This window comes from Homo sapiens, chromosome 5, assembly GCF_000001405.40.
Source record: "Homo sapiens chromosome 5, GRCh38.p14 Primary Assembly".
Taxonomy (NCBI): domain Eukaryota; kingdom Metazoa; phylum Chordata; class Mammalia; order Primates; family Hominidae; genus Homo; species Homo sapiens.
Window position 1 is genome coordinate 89,954,331 of NC_000005.10, and position 21,224 is coordinate 89,975,554.

General features: G+C 35.6%; 1 long non-coding RNA gene across 2 annotated transcripts in view; it reads left to right on the top strand.

Moving 5' to 3' along the window:
- LOC102724637 (uncharacterized) overlaps positions 1 to 19,670 on the top strand; it is a 71,709-nt gene extending 52,039 nt beyond the window's left edge. The window contains exons 5-6 of one of the 2 annotated variants that reach the window (NR_188242.1): positions 9,512 to 9,650; positions 17,026 to 19,670. This is a non-coding gene — a long non-coding RNA (uncharacterized LOC102724637). The remainder of the gene's footprint in view (positions 1 to 9,511; positions 9,651 to 17,025) is intronic. The other variant, NR_188243.1, reaches the window with a different exon arrangement.
- The last annotated feature ends 1,554 nt before the right edge of the window (positions 19,671 to 21,224 follow it).

A 21,224-nucleotide genomic window follows, 5' to 3' on the forward strand; every position in this document is an offset into this window, starting at 1 on the left:
TGCAGAGAGATTCTGGAGCAGGTACCAGCACCTTTTGCAGAGCTCAGCTAAGGGCACAAGAGGTCCGCTTTGCCTTCTGTGGCTGGAAGAGCTGTGCCTGACTTCTCTACGCTGTCTCCATAGTTCTCACCTTTCCAACCTGTCAATCTGGTGCCATTCAGTGATTACTAAATATACAAACAACAACGACTAAAAAAATCAAATACAACAAAAATAGTATTTGCCCAGTAAGGAAGATGGTAATAAGTAGAATATAGACATATCATCACTGATTGCTTCCAGTTTAATGGAAATATTTTTGTTTCAGCAACTTGAGTTATGTAGATATCCATGATTGTGATTGCCATATACAAAAACAATAATGAAAGGTTTTTTTTTTTTTAGCATTCTTTCAGGCGTATAATCAAAACTAAGTAGTTTTAAGGAGATTGCTTTAAAGCATAATTTCTTTCTTCCAATCATTTAAATACATTAAAGATTTTCTCATGACTTTTTTAAAAATATTTTAATCCTCCATTTTTAGGTTTCCAATTAATTCAAGGATTTTTTTTTCAATAAAAGCATATTTCTGAAAGACCTCAATTATTTGCTCTTCCTAAATGTTTTCCATTGCAAGGATTAGAGGTGATAAATCACATTCAGTTTATCTCCTACGGTTTCTTCTAGCACGTTGTCAACTCCCCTCTCACCCTCATGTGCACACCCCCTGCATAGTAACTGCATATGGGACAGTGTAAAGGCTGTGGGATAAGTGACACTATTAGCACAGTGTGGTGGCTTTGATGTGTAGCTCTCGGCAGGGTTGCCAGAAGAGTGACAGACTCCTGCTCTAATGCAAAGACTATTTCTCATTTACTCGCTTCACTTCTAATAGTCTTATATTACCATTAGTGGCACAAAGCAGACAGACAGCATGGCTGAAAAATCTCACATCCATGGATTAGCTTATTACTTTGAGAGCCAGCTTTCTGTATGCAATAAGCCCTTTTTTGAACAGAAATAAAGAAAAATATTCAAAAGTAGAATAGGTATCAAAATGAGGCCAATCATTTTTATTTTAATTCAAATGAAAACAGTGTTACTTCCCACACCACCACCGCCACCCCCACCCCAAGTCCAGGAGCAGGGGTGTGGAAACTCGATTTTTCTGTGCAGTTTCTAAGGCAAAAGCTTTCCTAGTCTCCCTGCATGTGCTAGTGTTTCACAAATTTAGTTTTGCCAGTTTCTAAGCCTTGAGCAAAATGCTGTTCCCAAACAAGAACAAAAAAAATTAATGAATAATTTTTTTACCTAAAAATGAACCATATTAATGTTTGAAAATTGGAAGAAAGAAAAGAGGGGGGATCAGAGGCACCTCAAAAATAGTGTGGTTTTTGTTCTGTGAATGAAGGAGGAGTTAACCAATGAGCAGTTAACCAGTAGGTTTAAAGCAGAAGCCAAACTAGCTATAAATGGGGGAAAATTTTATGTGTCAGAAAGCTGTTAAAGGGGACTTAAAAGAACAAAAAGTACCATTTGTTCCCCTAATTAACTTTGAAGAGTCTAATTAAGGGCAACATAAAAGTCTAAGAAATGCTGGTTATTAGGCATGTACTTTAACTTGATCAGTAAGAGGGTATTCTTGTAAACAAAGATGCTAATTTCACCCAGCCCAAAATAAACCTCTCTGCAAATATCTCACAACATAATCATGCAGTACCTTGGGAGCAGAATTCCTATCTCGTGCAGCCTGCTTTTTGAGGTTACTAATCTAGGTATTAATGGCACTCAATTTAAAGATGCGATGGAGGATTAAAAAGCATTCTGATAATTTGGTCTGAATATGGCCACTTGTCTCCTTAGAGTGTTATCACGTATTTAACTTGGCCTGAGCAGCTCTAAGAATTGACCATTTCAGTCACAAGGAGGTAGAACTGCATCTCTAAAATAGAGACAAGCAGGAAAAAGTTAAAGAGCATTTATATCTGATTAAAACATTACATCAGTACTATTCAAGGTTAAGTTAGGCTTTGCTATTGCCTCAAAAATACCATTTAAGTTTTAGTTTTAACACTCAAATAGTATTTCTTTTTAGAAAAGGAACCTATCGGTAACATAAAAATAGTCATAATATTAGAATAATAAGATTATAAAATTATGTTTTTATCTAGTTTCACTTTAGTTGCTTTAAGTGAAGTGAACACTCATTCCAGAGCTAACAACCCCGACTTCTGGGAACTTGCTTCATGTTTTGATTCAGTGATAATCACTGTCTTCAACTGGGGAAACACAGATAAAGGTATTTTCTGAGTTCTTCACAGGGATGCTATAATGAGACCATTTTAAAGAGCTTTGCATTTCTTGTGATAAAGATATTATGATTTGTATTATTGTCAACACCAATACTAAGCCCAGGAGTGCATGAAGGTAGACAATTGTGGTTTAATGATATAATCACACCAAATGGTATTCCCAATCTGATTTAGTTTTGAATTAGCCGTAGCCTGCAATAGCTAGTGCAGCTTTACAATTGACGTACTATTAAAATCAACTCCATAGCTTACAGCTAGGAAAAAGAATGCCTTCTATGAAGCTTTGAGACTTTGGTTCTAAAATCAGTACTCAAAAGAACAGCTTTCAAATAAAAGGACAGTGTCTAACAGCCTTGAGATGAAGGATTACAGATTATAAATAGAATAAGTTTTAAAAATATATTTTGGCATACAGATACTTCTGAGGATGTTTCCCTGCTGGACTTTGTACAGTGGACTGGTTGTACTTAAACTGAAAGAACTTACAGGGAAGGCTACACTGCTTAGGGTCTCAATCTTGATACTCTTGCCTCTGGAGAAACAATCCAATGTAGACATTACAGACAAGAAAAATGAAACAGAGTCCAAATGGAAGAGTTACAGAAAATTAAGCACCTTAGACTTAGCAATAGACTGGTTCAAACTTTCTGAACCAGTAATGCCCTTAGCTGCCATTTCCATCAATATAAACCAGTATGTATACTCTATACTGTGTGCAAAACACTGAACTATTTTAAGAATAGCAAAGAAGAGGGTAGAACACTGATAGGAACCAAGTAAGTATTCACATAACAGAATCATAGAATCACTTTATTTAAGCCCAAACCCTTTAGCTCAGCCTTGAAATTAATATTCAGAAAATATTGGGCCCATGAAAATTCAATTACACTGCTCCAAACCACAATTATACTGTCTGAAAGTGTTGGTACTACTGCTTTTCACCCAGCCATTCCATTCCCTTCTACTGTAGTTCCTTCACCATTTAGGTAAGAGAATATCATCATCTCCCAGAAGAAAATGCAGAAACTTGTTTTAAGTGTACCAAATCCCTTGAAAGAAATAGTTAAGAATGAAGGGAAGAAACCATTTCAGATCCACTGTCAAATGTATTTACACACTTCCTGAGATCTTATAAGCTCTGATCATATCTTTTATCTTCATATTCCTAATCAATCAGTGAGAGGAATTATCCCCAATAAAGGCAATGGAGACAAGAATCATTTTTTCCTGTGAAAAGGAGTAGAATATGAATATTCTATATATCTTTGATTAGAATATTCCTCTCTGATGTGACCATGACTGTCCCATCATATTTTATTGCTACAATGACTCTGTGCCTTCTGATGTGCCCAAGGACTCGATGTGTCTTTACCTGCAGCAAGAGACTAATTTAGTGCTAATCGCTCAGTGTTGTCATCAAACAGTCAGTGTTGTCTGCAACACCTCACTACCTGTATGCAGCTTTGGGTAGGAATGCTTAATCTTCACATACATCCATTTATTGGCCTTTTAATTCATTTATATACCTTCTTTACTTTCCACCTTAGCCAAGTTAACATCATCAAGACAAAAATGACCCATTACTGAGAACACTGTAAGAGTTGTCCTATATGTAATATATGGATCATTCTTCACTCCTTTCTCAATTAGAAAGTTTAGGGAGGAAATAGAGAAAAAAAAAATTCAAAGGTTGAGAAGTATGTAAGTCTGTATTCTGAATCTCTTTTTGAATGGAATAAGTACCCATGCCTACATTTTCTCAAAACACCCTTAGAAAACTTATGTGTGGGGGCCTGGCACGGTGGCTCAGGCCTGTAATCCCAGCACTTTGAAAGGCCAAGGCAGGTAGATCTCTCGAGGTGAGGAGTTCAAGACCAACCTGAACAAAATGGTGAAACCCCATCTCTCTTCCTCTCTCTCTCTCTGTATATAAGTGTGTGTGTGTGTGTGTGTGTGTGTGTGTGCAAAAATTAGTTGAGCATGGTGGCATACACCTGTAGTCCCAGCTACTCAGGAGGCTGAGGCAGGAGAATTGCTTGAACCTGGGAGGTGTAGGTTGCAGAGCTGAGACAGACCACTGCACTCCAGCCTGGGCCACAGAGCGGGCTCATCTCAAAAATAAAAGAGAAGAAAGAAAACTTATGCTTATGCACGTGAAGAAGCAACTCCCTGCCTCCCTGGCCTCAGCCTTGTCAGAGTTTAGATGGTTAAATGACAGATCATGGAACAAAACTGACTATTCTTCTCCATATCAAAAGGAAACCAGGCATGTTTCAAAGCCTTATGAAAAGCCAACCTGTTTCTCATGGTTATCTTACCCAGCTTTGGGCCAAGTCTCAACAAGAACAGGAGCCCAGACACAGTCTCTTCAATTTTGAGTTTTTCCCTTCAAAGATGCATTTCCCACAGGTGGCATTTTAATGAGTACTTCACAGAATTCCACATCTGTGTTGAGTGGGCCTGATATTTCTCCCCAAATAATTTTTTTAACCTCATATTCAGATGAGCCAAAGTTTGGTCTTCAGAATTGAATACCCACATCTACTCTGCTTGATACTTGGATGAGTGGAATGCTTTATCCAGATGTTCTATCCAGACTAATTTTGTAGTCAGGCACAATGAATGATGACAAAAATAATTCAGCAAGATACAACAGTATGTGGGTCAGTGATTTGAAATAGAGTCACAGACACTCACATCCATAGGTAGCAACCTGTTTCTTTCCATCAGTGGAAAAGGAATTGCTGGTAAGAACATGGTTTATCAAATATAAGAATAACACTGCATACCCACTTTATTTTTAAGACATAATTTTTTAGAAGTTTTAATTTATAGCAACAGTGAGAGGAGGTACAGAGATATCCCATATTTCCCCTACCCCCACACATGTATAGCATCCCTTATTATTCACATCACCCACAAGAGTGGTACATTTATTGCAATTGATACATCATTATCACTCAAAGTTCAGAGTTTGTATTAGGGCTCACACTTGGTGTTGTATGTTCTATGGGTTTAGAAGAATGTGTAATTACATGTATCCACTCATTACAATATCACATTGAGTATTTTCACTGCCCTAAAAATCCTTCGTGCTCTAGCTACTCATCCCTCTCACCCTACTAACTCTTAGCAACCACTGGTCTTTTTACTGTTTCCATAGTTTTGCCTTTTCTAGAATGTAATACAGTTAGAATCATAGTGTAGCCTTTTCCGATTGGCTTCTTTCACATAGTGATATATATTAAGGTTTCTTTCACGTCTTTCCATGGCTTATAGCGCATTTCTTCTTAGCATTGAAAAGTATTCCATTATCTAGATATACCACAATCTATTTACCCATTCACTTACTGAAGGACATCTTGGTTGCTTCCAAGTTTGGGCACTTATGAATGAAGTTGATATAAACATCCATGTGCAAGCTTTTGTGTGGAAATCAGTTTTTAACTCCTTTGGGTAAAAACCAAGGAGTGCAATTGCTGGATCATATGATAAGGGTATGTTTAGTTGTTTATAAAGCTGCCAAACTGTCTTCCAAAGTGGCTGCGCTGTTTTGCATTCCCACCAGCAACGAATGAGAGTTCCTGTTGTTCCATATCCTCACCTCACTATTTGGTGCTGTCAGTGTTCTGATAATGGGATTTTGTCCATTCTGATAGATATGTTGTGGTATCTCATTTTAATTTGCATTTCCCAGATGACATATATAATGTGAAGCATTTTTTCATATGCTTATTTGGCATCTGTATATCTTTCTTAGTGAGGTATCTGTTGAGGCCTTTGGCCTATTGTTGGTTTTTTTTTTTAATTGTTGAGTTTTAAGAGTTTTTTTGTATATTTTGGATAATAGCTATTTATCAGATATGTCTTTCGCAAATATCTTCTCCCAGTCTTTGGCTTGTCTTTTTATTCTCTTGACAGTGTCTTTTACAGAGCAGAAAACTTTAATTTTAATATAGTCCAACTTACCAATTGTTTCTTTCATGGATCATGCCTTTAGCATTGTATCTAAAAAGTCATTGTCAAACCCAAGATCATCTAGATTTTCTCCTATGTTAGCTTCTAGGAATTTTATAATTTTGCATTATACACTTATGTCTGTGATCCGTTTTGACTTAATTTTTGGGAAGAGTGTAAGATCTATACCTAGATGTATTTTTTTTGCATGTGGATGGATGTCCAGTTATCCCAGAACCATTTATTAAAAGACTCTTTTCTCTATTGTATTGCCTTTGCTCCTTTGTCAAAGATCAGTTGACTACATTTCTGTGGGCCTGCTTCTAGGCTCTTTATTCTGTTCCATTTATCTATTTGTCTATTCTTTCACCAATACCACACTATTTTGATTAATGTAGCTTTGTGGTAAGTCTTGAAGTCAGATAGTGTCTGTTCTTCAACTTTTTATGCAGCACATACTTCAAGGCTTTCACACAGATGAAGTGATGGATCTATACCAATAAATGCAAACTCCGCTTCCTAGTCTCCAGTGTGAACCAATCACCTCTATCCAGGATGAGCAGCAGAGCGTTGAAATCCATTTGCAGATATGGATAGAGAGGAAGTAATTCAATCTCAGGACTATAGAGTTGGAGTCGTTAAGAAAATCTAATTCACTCAGGGGATTCTAACTAATGCACTGAGCTAACCACTTGGACAAGGGAAAGAGTGGTACTGGAAAAATGTGGGTGGCCCAACATAGTTTTTTGGTAATATTTATTATATATCAACCATTCATACTGACACATCCCTAAAAAATAGTCTTAAAAAGTATGCTGAAGGCGAATCTAAATTATACAAATGAAAAGAAAAGAAAATGCTAAAGATAAAAGTGCAAATTACACGCCATATCCTAAAAGCTATTCATTATTAGCATTGTGAAATACCTGAAAACATTTGTGATTTCTGTATGACTTGTTTTATTTTTTAACAAAAATTCTGCGTTGGTGTTAAACAGATTTTCAACCCTCAACAAACCAGATGGCTAATCCAAAATTATTACATGAAATATGAATAGGAAACTAAGAACTGTACTCTGCAGAAAGATAATGAGAATTTTTCAGCATTTACATTTTTACCAAATAAATTATATTTCTATTTCATTGGGATCTACTTCGGAATTATAACAAATAGTCTCAGTGATAATTACCAAATGTCTATATTTAGGGAAAACTAGCACATGTGTATCATAAATAATAGCACAAATTGATATTTCTGAATTGCCTGTTTTTCTAGATATAGACATTTGGTAATTATCACCAGAGTTGGCATGTAAAGAGGTGTTTAGACAATTTTAAAAATTCATATTGCTTACTCAATAGACCATGCACTAATTATACTCTGCAATGAAAATCTATATTCAGGTGTGTTATAATAAGGTAAGATCTTGACCCAATAGGTAATAAAGGAAAAGTATATACTTTGGCTTAATGAGTATAATCACTTCACTTTAGGACTACCTACAACAGCTGTCTGTGACTGACAAATCACTTGCTAATCTAATAGTGGTCCCAAGGTGAAATAACTTTGACCTTAAAACTAAAATGTTTATTTCCCAAATATTATTTTTGTACCTTGGCACAAAGAAGTTCATTAATTCTGCATCACTTTGTCTGTCTCCTGCAGCTTTTAGTTTTGACTTATTGACTGATTGGCAAAGAGTAACTGCCAACAGAGAAAGGTTTAGCACAACTTGGCCAGAAAAGGCCTGCTTTTGGCTCCTTCCCTACTAGAACTCATGTTTGTGGAAGTGTGTCTTCCCCACCCCCACCCCGCCCAGGTAATATTCAGGCAGTATGCAGAGAACAAATACAGGCAACAGATGGAATATTTGCTTGGTCCCAACCACCTTAGTGTCTGGCCAATTCTTGGCAAATATTACTTTCAGAACATAGGGAGGTATGTGAAACACCATCAGCCATTACCAGGTGACACTGACAACAGTGATGTCAGCTGTGACTTGGGCAATGGGGAGGACCAACTGGCTGGCAGCAATGAGAAGTTACTAAATTAAAGCTATCTTGCTCATTGCTGCCATGAGAAAGTGATACAGCTCAGTGGGCTGCTAATGAGAAGCAAAAGAAGAATATAAAGGCAATGCCAAGAGGTACAAGAAAAGGAAGAAAGATAATTATGAGTCAGAATTTAAGCTTCAACTAAAATGCGAATTCAACAGCCATAAGAAAAAAGAAATAGGCTAGTTTGCACTGACTAATAGGAATTTAACAATAAGCATGAGATGCTGAGGAGATGAATAGCATAGCAAAATAGGTAGAATTAAAAAAAAGACAAGATCATGCATAGAAATTTAGTTAGTATCACAATTCAACAAAATATGAAAACAAACTCTGCTAGGAAAAGTTGGTATGATGAGGTGTTTGCTGGTTCTTGGAAGGTTTCTGAAAATTGGATACAATTTTTCTAGATTAAATATCTTTAATTACTAGCTCAGCCTAGATGATGAAATGAACATATTATATAATTAAATGATGGTTCTCTTCTTTGTCGCACACAAATTCACAGGCCCATTGATCCCATCAGTCCTTTCACATCTTTTTCTCTGTTGTTGCAGCTCTTAATAAATGATACCTTGTGAGACCTAGTATAATTATCTCATATTCTGGCCGGGGTCATTAGAGCTCACCTATTATTTCATATGCTCCCTGGTAATGGTTTTTGTGATGTGTCATTTTGGCAACTTGGGTTAGTGTTCAATCAAACAATATGCTAGGTGTTGCTGTGAAGAGAGTTTGTAGATATAATTAAAAGTGCGTCATCATTTGACTTTACATAAGGAAGATTATCTTGGCTAATTTGGGTAGGCCTGATGAAAAGCAAAGCTGAGATTTCCCTGAGAGGAAGAGAAAAAAAAAAAAAGTCCTGTTGATAACCGCCGTAGGCTATGGTGCAAATGCCCAAAGTACCTATGAGTTTCAGCCTACTTGTAGTCTCCCCTTCCTGGTGGCCTGCTTTGTGGGTTTCAGCCTTGCATATCCAGCTCCCACAACTGCGTAAACCCGCTTCTTGTAATAAATCTCTTAATATATACATCTCCTGCTGGTTCTGCTTCTGTGGCTTAATCCTAACTCATACATCCCACTAAATTTTCCAGGCTCCCTTGGGTAGGTGAAAGCTATGTGACTAGTTTGGCACATGGACTAAGAGATGAGAATGAATGCACAGCTAAAATCAAAGCTGGCGTGCCTCCTTTGTCTCTTCTTCAGTGACAAGCCTGAAGACCGTGAGTTAAGATCATAGAGCCACAGACCAGAAGCAGCCTGCATCCCTGAATCCCAGTACGGAATAAAGTGTCACCTGAACTGCTTCAGACTTTGTGGGAATGAGAAACAAACCTTCCTTTTAGTAAGCCTCATATTTGTTAATTTTATATTTCAGGGTTTATTTATTAGTTCAGTATAGCCAGTCTTGTCACATTTTACGGAAATATTCTTGACTTTCTTTCTGAAATGTCTGGTTAAATGTTTATAGACAATTTAATAGACATGTAATGTGTTTGTTAAATGTCTGCACACATAGAGAATAATCAGAAACTCACTGGACACATTTTTGTCTTTAGTTATGACAAAGTACACTCCCATAGGATGATCAGAAGCTTCCTTTTTATGGGCAATACTGTAAGCTAAAAACAAGACAGGTAGAAAACAGTAATGGGTCAAAAACATGAGCACTGATTATGCTGACTACACTATTAACAAGACTTTGGTTGCTTTATAAAATCAAACTCCATGCTTGTTTTTTCTTAGCTCCACTGCAGTCCACTCTTATAATCTGAAGAGGCTCCTATGATCAGAGTCAAAGATATAAATGCTAGGATGCCACAAAAATGAGGAAGAAGAAACACCCTGTTAGCAATGTCCAGGTGTGACAAAATAAACTGCAACAATAAACTGGAGGGCTAGTTGATGCAAAAAATAATCTGACTCTTCAATCTTATTGGGCCTTTATTTATGTGGTTGAGTTTGTGATGAATAGTTTCAGGATAGGCACCTTGACTTGTCTACAGTGCTACAATCCCACCTAAGAGTTACAGATGGTCTCTTTATGCAGACCATTATTTCTTTAATTACTCTCCTTAATACATTTTATTTATTAAGACAGAAAATGTTAAGAAGCTTCTGTGTTTTTTAATTTAAAACAACATTGTTAAGATTGTTTTAATTAAATACTGTTCTAAATTAATTACACACATATACAAAGAAGAGGGTAAGAACACTAAAACTTTCACAATGATGGAATAAAAAGTGATTTAAAATTTTTCTATCTTCTAACTTTTCTATCTGATGTTAATTATAACTTACTCTTATCCATTTGTTTAAAAATAAAAATTTTTAAACAATTTTTCCAAAAAGAAGATGGATTGTTTTAACTCAGGAAAAAATTTACAATGTAATCAAAAACTAAATTAATTAATTATAGAATATTAAGCATTGCAAAAGATTATAATAACATTATAAGTACAAGATCTTAAATGTATGATAACACTCACTTTTCATATGACTTTCCATCTAAATTCACAGCATTTAGATGATTAACAAGTGCCTTTTCCATAGAGTTATCAAAAGTAACTTTTAAATGAACATTCAATCTTTCCCTGGAAACTAAATGATTGCTCGATGCAGTAAAATCTAAATCTGAATGCACGGTTCTCATTTTAACAAACATGTACTCAGGTTTCTTAGTGGATTTTATTTTTAAACAAATGGATAGGAGTAAATTATAATTAACATCAAATGCTCTTTATGTTACAAGATGCTACTAAATGCATAAGTATGCTTGAAACACTTTATTTCTAGTCAATACAAGCATTATATTCACCTACAAAATTTATAAATACTATTAGCTCACAATATCTCTTGCTAAGCAAAGGTCAACATAATCTAGTCTGCATCCAATTGATCATGAGTTCTTGATTTGCAGGGACTAATTAGTGTGTCTTAATTATTACCCAATTCTGCTACCATCATCACATTTATATTACTGCTACATTTCTCACTATTTTTCTTGGCAATATCCTTAATTTCCCAATTCTATTTTATTAGTTTTAATTATGTCATAGAAATTATCTCTAACCTACATATGCATGTTATTCTTTTTCATTTGCCATACTTGCCAATAATTGATCTTGGCTGTTCTCTATTTTATAATCTTCACCAATTATGAGGTTGATAGGGATTTATCTTCATGTATGCAGAACTGGCAAAAAAACATAGATATATACTTATGTACACACATATAAATTCATTTTAGAAACCAGCTGACAAAGTTGAACGTGGTTAGTGACTTGTTAAGCTTTAGAAGCGTTCAACCTTAGAAACTGAGGGGCAATGGAATACAAAATTACTTTTGGTTCATTTGAAGTTTTAAAGTCCCTGAAAGTTGAAAGGAAAAGGAACCTCCTGACAATTACTGTCTGAACTGTTTTTCTCTTGTTTTTGCCTAAATTTGGTGACTCTTTCCTTTTCTCCTTTCACCCTTCATTATCCACCAACATCAAAATACTAAAATGTTACTTTTTCTATGTCGAGGTATCAGTCTAAGGACCAAATATAGTCCCGGTCTAACCTGTTTTTACCAAAGGCTTCATAATGTTTTTGAGGTGTTTTGTAGGCTAGTTTTTGGGTTTGTTTATTTTAAAAAAAAAACTCTTTAATGTTTTTCAGAAGATAAGTAAACAAGAACAATTATACCTTTTTCTTAATGAACGGAAAGAATCAAGGGTGTCCCTAAGGCTGTGGTGAATATAGGAGCAACTGAGGTGAGGGCCAGGGGGCTGTCTCCCGCTAAGGTATCATTGTGGTTTTGCTGTAGAAGTCCAGGAAAATAAATGCTTTCTGTATCTTAATAAATGTAGCCATGTCATCCCTACCATAAACATGTGTACAGCCCTGCCACCAGAGAAAAACTACAGAATTAATGACTTTTAGGTGTCTATCTACTCACCTAGATCCCAAAACTCTGACCACAGTACCCGCAACCCCATAAGTGGCTTTTGAATTTGGAAAGCTACATATATTCTCATCCTTATATACAACGATTGTACAGAAATACAGCGAAAACAGCACGATGACATTTTCAATGAACACTTTCCCAAAATACCAACTATTTGCTGTCCTAAGACCTGTTTGGCAAGAGAGATAAATATAAAAATACAAATAAACATACAAATAAAACACAGAACTTAGCTTCTTAGCTTTGGGGAAGACAGAGAGAAATCATATTCATCATGTGTGGCTGGAACAAATGTAGTCAACATTTATTTAACTGCTAAAAAAATTATCTAGTCATAGTATTGAAGCTTCTTCACGTTTATTTTTTGGTCCCACGAAGCGGATAGTTAATGCAGGCATTATTGATGATAATAGCGGAAAATGAAACATTTTATATGATGGAAGAATTAAATAATAATGATAAGAGCCAGCCTAAGAATCAACTCAGTTACTGGCTTAAAGAGAAGAGTGTCTTTCCTATCCTGAGTTTTCCAGAATAAAAGAGGAACTAAAATTTCAGATGCCAAGGTTAGCACAGATATACATACCAAGTAGTCTGCCTGTTCATCTTTAAATATGTTCAAAATGTACAAAGAAAAAAATAAGATTCATTATCATTAATTAGCCAGCATGTAATAAAATCCAATGACAATTTTTTATAGTTCAGCATCAACTCCCCACACTACAGCTGAGTGTTTTTCTTCTTCCTTACGTGCCACAGCTGTTTCTGATCCTCTCACTATTTTTCTAATTTAAAGACCAAGAAGTTTGTTTTCATTTGACAGTGTATAAGATTTTCAAACTATTTGCTGGAAACTGCACTCTAATTTCTGCTGTTATGTGTTCTTCTATTTGAATGTCATTTTTAAAAATAAGCCTTTTCCTGGTGCTCCAATTCTGAGATGGTACAAAAAAGTACGCTGATAGGAAGGCAACAGTCAAAATAATTCAACCATTGCCCTGGAGAACTTGGCACCTCTCTTGTTTGTTTCTCTCCCAATCAACAAGCCCTTAGTTCTACCAGATCCACTGGCTTTATAAAAATGGTAAATCAAACGCCAAAATGTGTCACAATACAGGATGTAAATTAGAGATATATTTATATATTTATACACTCTATCAAGAACTAAAGGACTCAATAAAAATGCAATAAAAATGTGAAAGGGAATATGTGAACTTTTTTTTCCTGGCAACTTGTATCCTCTGGCTTAAGAGATAGCTGCTATTCAGTGAATCCACTGGCAAAACTAACATTTCTGTCTTTCTTTCTCCATTAACTGTGTCCTCCCGCAAGTTCTTCTTTTGATGGAATAACAGAAGTCATTGCCTGTATCACAGTGATCACCACATAACTTTTGAAACCACAAGCTTCCTGTCTTAATTTCTGAAAACTTCATTTTAGTGCCAGTTCTTGATGATCCTATCTGAATTAGTCATAGGAGTACTGCTGGCTTCTGTTTCTGAAGTATACTGTAGTATTATAATTATATTACATAAATATATACTATACCTAAAAATTGCATACTACATATGAATGCAAACCTATGAATTAGAAGTATATTGTATTGCTTGGGAAGAGGGTGGATTGGATTTGAATGCTGACTCTGCAATATATTAGTTGTCAGGCCTTGGACAAATTGTTCATCTTCCTGTGCCTCAATTTCTCCTCTTATGAAATGGAGACAAGAAAGTTTCCTATGCTATCAGGTTGTGGTGAGGATTTTTAAATTAATAAATACAAAACACACAGAACTGTACCTGGCATGCATTAACACTCAATTATTGTTAGTGTTTTATTTTTATTATCATCTTTATTACTTTCATCATCAAATTTCACACCACCACAAAAGTTTTATTACAAATTGCCAATCATGACAATTCCTAAAATATTTAAATATTTCAGGAACACATAGTCCAAAAACATTTTTAAAGTAATGCAAGATTCCTGCATGTGGCAAAGTTCCATTCTCATGTCATCCTTTACATTTCATATTTGGATTGAGCCTTACTCTTCTGTGACAAAAAAAGTTTCTCCTAAATTTTAAATATCTTAACATAAAGTTTGCACTACATAAATAAAAATTACATTTGTGGATAGATGTCACTTCTATTTGGAAATCTGAAATATTTAATTATGTTTTACAATTTCTATGAATTTTCCAGATAATAAAATATCAGTTGGAAATGTCCATTTGATAGGATTGGCTTCTGTGAGATCTGCTCAGCTGCTTGCGTGTATTTTTATGTTTATGAAAATACAGCCAATCTTGGGCAAAAGAAATAAATCAGGTTTGAACTTTTATCATAACCTGTTGATTAACTACTAGCAATCTGTCATGTTCTGGGTCACATTACTACAGAAAATGGAGCGTCACCTCCCGGAGTGCCCCTGAGAACCTTAAGTTCATGGGAATGAACAGTAGAAGGGACCTCTGAACCCTTTCCCACAGCCAAATGACAGCTGTGATTCTTTGGCCTCAGCTTGCCTTCTTAAGCTGATTCGGCATGAAATTTATTATGCTTCCTCCACAGCATCCCATGTCGGCTAGGGACATTTATTATTCTGACCAATTATTGAAGGATATATGTTTTTCCTATCATTCAGTTTGATCAAAATTCTAGCCTCTAAAAAGGAACAAACCACAGCTCAGGAATGAGGTAGGAGTGTACTCTGACATGCTGCCAAAGTTTGTTCCCTGCCTCTGGAGTGCAAACTTAAGTACACTTTAATCCTGCTTTAAAAAGCCATGTTGAGGCTTCATTTTACCAGCAAGTTTCTCAGATCGGAATAATGGGGGAGACAAAGACATCAAAAAGACAGATGAAGAGCTCAAACTTTTTAGAAAAATGCTGAGCTTCAATCTTTTCAAGTTTCTTCTACTTTTAAGCAGTGAGACCTTGAGTAAATTTCCTGACCTTGAGTAAATTTCCTAACCTTGAGCCTCAGTGTTCTCATTTGCAAAATGGAAATAATAATTGCTCCCAGTATTGTTGTGAAATTCAAATGAGATAATGAGTGTTAAACATCTGATGCAGACAGAATTCAATGAATATTAGTTCTTATGAGTAGGTTTATTGAACTTTGAAGTCACATGTACTGTTTGGTCTTTGTTGGAGTTTTTGAATTATTTGCTCATATCTTGAATACTTGAAGCTTAATAAGCTTATAGAAAGGAAAGGACTAGATAATGCAGGAAACCAAAGGAAGTGAGGAGGATTTAATTTTATCTTAGGAGTAATGGGAAGTAATTGAATAGAAAATATCTAACTTGTCTTTAAAATAAATTTAAATAGGAGAGCTGCAAGAGAAAACCAGGGATATTTTTTGGAAGCTTTTTCTGGTCCAGAAGAGGGATGACAGAAGCTTAGACCAAGGTAGTGGTGTTGGAGATGAAGAGAAGTGGTCATTTATAAGTAGAATAAAAAGGGCCTGCTGATATATTTATTGAATGTTGAAGAAAGGAATCAAAGATGGAGAATGGAAGTGCCATTTGCTGAGATGGGGGAAAATAAGGTGTAGAGGATGAGAGAGTGCCAATTGCTGAGATGGGGGAGAAAAGAAAGTTGTTGAGATGCAGAGGGTGAGAAATCAAGAGTTCTCTTTTGGACATGTTATGTTTATGAGGACCATTAGACACACATGGGAAAGTAGTAAGGGCTGAGCACATGGATACCTTGAGGCTGTCATCATAATGACATTTGAAGAGCCAGTCTTAATTTAGCCAGACATGTCCTGCATTGACCTGTTACAATGTTATAATAAGGGGCAACAAGCCCCTTATTCTTGAAACTCCCTAAATTAGAGTGTTAAATTTATTAGATAAAGGGTCTTTTTTAAGAAGCTCATTAGAGGAAAAGAGTTTGCCTATTATGTGGCAGAGAAAGAGGACTCTGGCTTATTGAAGTTTCTTTATAAGCAAATAGCCAGAGAGGTCTTGATCTCTTAGCTAGGCCTGGCCCACGACTTACAGAATTGGTAAGGTGAGGTTTGGCAAATGGGAGATTTTGGTAAAGAAAAGACTAACCAAACATCTTAAGCATCTAGAAGACATTATTCAGTAATTATGTGGAAGGCAATTTTGAAGATGGTATTCAGGATGGCTAGGTAGGGTAGAAAAATCAGCATTCAATATAAAAGACAAAATTTGTCTGCAATTTTTTTCAAAGCAATAATATGTATAGTCAACTCTCAGTTACGGAATCATAAAATCTACTGTCTCTAAACATTTATGCTAGACTTTAATTCCCTTCACCTTACATTTATAAAACAACCAAAAACTAAGCATACATGACTTATATAGCTTTTTCATTTGTTCCTTTCACTCTTATCCTCAAAGGAATGTTCTAATAAAATGTGAAATATGTTTTTTAAATGGAACAAAGAAGGAAAAAGACAGCAACAGTACGGTCAATATATTGCTCGTTTCCGGATAAACAGAGGTTTACAAATACTCAGAATTCGGTAGTTGTATTTTTAAAACCTTTCTACAATCGTTTTCAGTATCTTTTACTATAATAAGTTAGGGTAACTGTTTACAGAATGATGGAATATATCTTGAACAATTCACTACTCTCTTTTCAGAGGATAATGCTTCACAAGAAAGGGGTATGTGTGTATGTTTGTGCCCCAGTGTAATAGAGAGAGGAAGGGAGGGAGGGAAGAAGGGAGGGAGAGAGAGATAGAAGGAGAAGACATTTGGTGACACATCCAAATATTATTTAAATTCTAGCATGGAATCATAGCAATTGATCTTTGGAACCCTGGTGATCTCTGCGGTTGGCGTTATAACTGTTTGAAGGCTTCCACCATGTGGGGTGGCTGAGAACTGTTGTCCTGCAGCTGAGCCAGCACAGTTACACACTTTTGGTCCTTCCATCTGAGCTGCTACACAGAGAGCAGGTTTTGGAGCAGGTTCTTACAACATGAAGCCATCATGACTGAAGCTTGATGCTCCAAACACAGACACATTCTCACTTCCACAAATGTTTAAGTAAAAAGAGAATGTGCTGAAGGAGGAAATTATTGTCTTTTTGTTTCCTTCCTTTCATTTTCTTTTCTTGAAAAAACACACCTCGTATGGTGTTTTGACTTACAGAAAATGAAAAACAAAGATTAATTCTGAAACTGCTAATTGTGTAAAAAGCACGGATTTTCAAAGAAACTAAATGTTCTTTTATTAGCATGGAAAAACTTTTGAAGAGAAAGTATCAACCATTTTCCTTCGAATATTTTCCCCTAATAAAACAGATATTTGGACAAGATTCATCAAAATATGTCTTTCCACCCCCAAAATATGTGTATCTATTATGTATCAATTAAAAGTAAAAGTAAAAAATATAACTGTCAAAAATCCCGCCATATCATGCTGATTTTTCAATTTTCTATAAGATCATATTTTAAATTAGTATAATTTCTAATGTAGAAACACTTCCTTATAAAACAGCAGATTTTTATTTTAGCTAAAAACATTGATTTCAGATCATGATTATCTGAACTGATAGAGTTAACAGTAAAGAAGTAATATTTGCATTTCTCATAGGCCAAGGAAAATAGAATACAGTTGTAAAACTCTATGGATTAAAAACATTTGCCCATGGTTAACTATTGCTAGAAATCACAGTATAAAACCTCATCTCTGGCTTTTCCAGTGCTTCATCACCATAAGTCCTGAATGTGGCAACCCAACCATAAAAAAATAAGAAGGTTCCTACCCCAAAATATTATTCCTAACAAATCTTTGATTGGGGATTATCAATTTAGACAGAGCGCATGTTGGGTGGACATCCAGCATCTACTTAAAGGCACATCGTATCGCTCAATATTTTGGTGTGCACTTTCGACGTAACAATTGGCATTGAGGAGGTTTGTGCTCTGAAAGCATTTCTCATTACCCCACTCTACAGGGGTGAGAGAAGAATGCGTGTGCCCAGTTGGCTTCTGAAACAATAACCCCAAATACAGCATAGCTATAGTTGATATCTTTGGGGAGTAACTAGCATTATTTTATGAAAATTATTTAATGTATACCTGTATATTGACCTTTGTAAAAAGGAGAAAACAATATGGAGTCTGCAAGGGGAGGTTATTTTTTAATGCTACAGGAGTGAGAGAAGTTGGTCAATTACCACTTACCGAAAAATGAAAGAATAACCTATGGGTAGCAGCATCGTGATGAAGAGAATAAATCAAAATGCTCTTATTTATTGGGGAGTTATAACTATCAGAGGGATTGTGGAACAAAACACTCCTCATCTCTACATCCACCATTCAAATGCTTCCTCTGCTGTGTTAGCCCATTGGGAAATCACAGTTCTCTATAAGTTGCATTTTCCTCCTTAGCCAAGTAAACTTATTATGTGATTACATTGCCATTTAATCCCCCGTAATTGTAGCAATATGTACAGCGGGGTAAGTCAGCAAAAATTCTCCTCTGTCCAGGGAGGTGAAAGCCTTGTGGAATCTGGGCATTCCAGTACTTTGGAAGAGTAAGCTTCCATTGCTCAAGATGGTGACATCACTTCCACCAATGGCTGAGACTGAGGAAAATGTGTGTTTCTTTTCTTAAGAGATGACAAGTTAAGTAAATCATCCTAGGAAAATGCTGAGCAGGTTATTTGATATATGCTAACTAGATGGATGCTTTAGTGAAGAAGCAAAGGTGCACAAGCGATCTTGAGACTGAGAAATGTTGCTTCCAACAAGCTTGTCTCTCAGTGGTCAAAATATGTTTTCACTCCCTGCTCTCTTCATCTCCTTTACTCTGGAAAACTGATAGGTGAATCACTTTTGTTCAGCTATGATTATTTTTACACCTCAAAACACAGCCTACAGGCTCACTTTTAGGTCATAATTTCACACAGAGACAACTTGTTCAAAAGGTGAAAAAAAATTTAAAAAGCTCTCAAAGTCCTAGTAAATATTAAGCAGCAGATAAGTCAGGTTCAAGTGAAAGCAAAGGAAACATTAACCATTTCTTGCTAGAAACATACTGTATATTATTTAGCTGCATCTAATCAACTTCATTTGGTTCCTTATTTTCACTTCAAGGTTCCTCAGGGCAGTGTACACAATACAGTGTCTCCACCTTTGCAAATAGCTTGAAATCCAAAAATGCATTTGTAAATCAGTGTTCGAATTCAGAATGTGTTTACTGTCGAGGAAAAAAATATATGTGGGGGTTAGATTTCTAGGCTACCCTAAGGCATATGATGTCATTTTAATGTATTAACAACAGTGAACATTTATATTTGCAATGAAAATTGCAAAATTCAATATTCTTAAAATACTAATACTTGTACTTACAGAAAAGCATTTTAACTGTTGCTTGTTTTTTCAAACTGAAATGCTGAAAATAAAAATGATTGTAAAATACCAGATTTCTGTATAGACTGAAGATTTATTGCCTCTATGTAAGAATGATCCAAATTTTTTAAGAGTTAGATTTTAATATTGCAGAGAGCAAAAGTAGCAAATGCAAACCAATAAAATTTTGATAGGTATTACAAATTACATCATCAGCACATGTATTTATTTTGCATGTGTCTTCTTGCTTTATCAAGAGGTTGGACCACATTTTTCAATTATTTTATTTCAATCTCCATATCTATTGCAGCTGTCAATGCTCATCTGGCATAAGATAAATGAAATTATCTCTCAGACAGAATAACTGAATTCTGTGACCACTTTGAAGCTTATCCCCGAGGCTAAGCTTTTCTGGATCCTGTAGTGACTCCAACACCTGACCAATGGGAATGCTCTACATTCAGACACTTTATAACACTTCTCATCATGACCTACAACGACATGGCATTCCAAAGATATTCTCTTTTGAACTCATTAAATTTGGCAGTGGAGGATAAAAAGAGGCATACTGGATTTAAAAGATATTTATGAAGCATGAGAGAAACTACGTTGTCAACAGGTTTCCCTACTTCTGCTATTTCCTTTAGTAGTCCATTTCCACAGAAGCTACAGGAATTCTGTAAGACATTACATTACAATTCTATCCAGCTTATATTCATTCAATGGCTTCTGATTATACTTGAAGTATAATCTAAACTCAAAGTTTTTGCCTTCCAGGTGCTATGTGACCTACCGTAGTTACCTTGCTGAACTCATCTGGCTCTACTCTCTACCTCCCTACTTCTCTTGAGTCCCGTTAGCCAGCACACCTGGATCCTCCACATCTGAGCACCATCTGCTCCTTTATTCTGCCTAAAATGTACTTCCTCAAATCTCTGTATGGCTGGCTCCTTAATATAAGTCTGCTCACTATAAAATGGCATTTCTGACCTAGCACCCTTTTAAACATAACTGCTGACCTTCCTCCCTCTACTTTCTATCATTAAACTCTATTATTTTAGATCATTTACTTATCACTATGTGAAATCATATGATTTATCTTGTTTCTGTTTGTCTTTTCCCCCCAGATAGAATGTAAACTTGATGAGGGTAGGAACTATTTATGTCTTAGTTAACGTTGTTTCCCTAGCACCTAGCCTGGTGCCTAGCACATAGTAAATAATAAATGTGTATTAATGAATGAATAGCTATTGATGTTAAAGAGACATTCTTGAATTTAGGTCGATGTCTGTAATCATTACACCATTGCTAAACATTATTATAATTAACTAATTTTGTAGCCTTGAGAAAGGAAATCTCACCCTCTTGACTGAAATGTCAAGTTCAAGAGGTGAAAGTTCAAGTTATGAGAAAGACATAAAGTCTCAAAGTGCTTTAAGCCAATTCTTTCAAAAATGAACTGAAAAGAAAGGTTAAAGGGATTGAGGTATTTTTTTAGCTTACCAAATAGAGACCTGGAAGATTAGTTAATTATCGCCTTCACATATATGAAGACTTTTTTATCATGAAAATGTCAAGCTTTTATCTGTCCACGAAGGGGAAAGAAAAGGAAACATTTAAATTCAA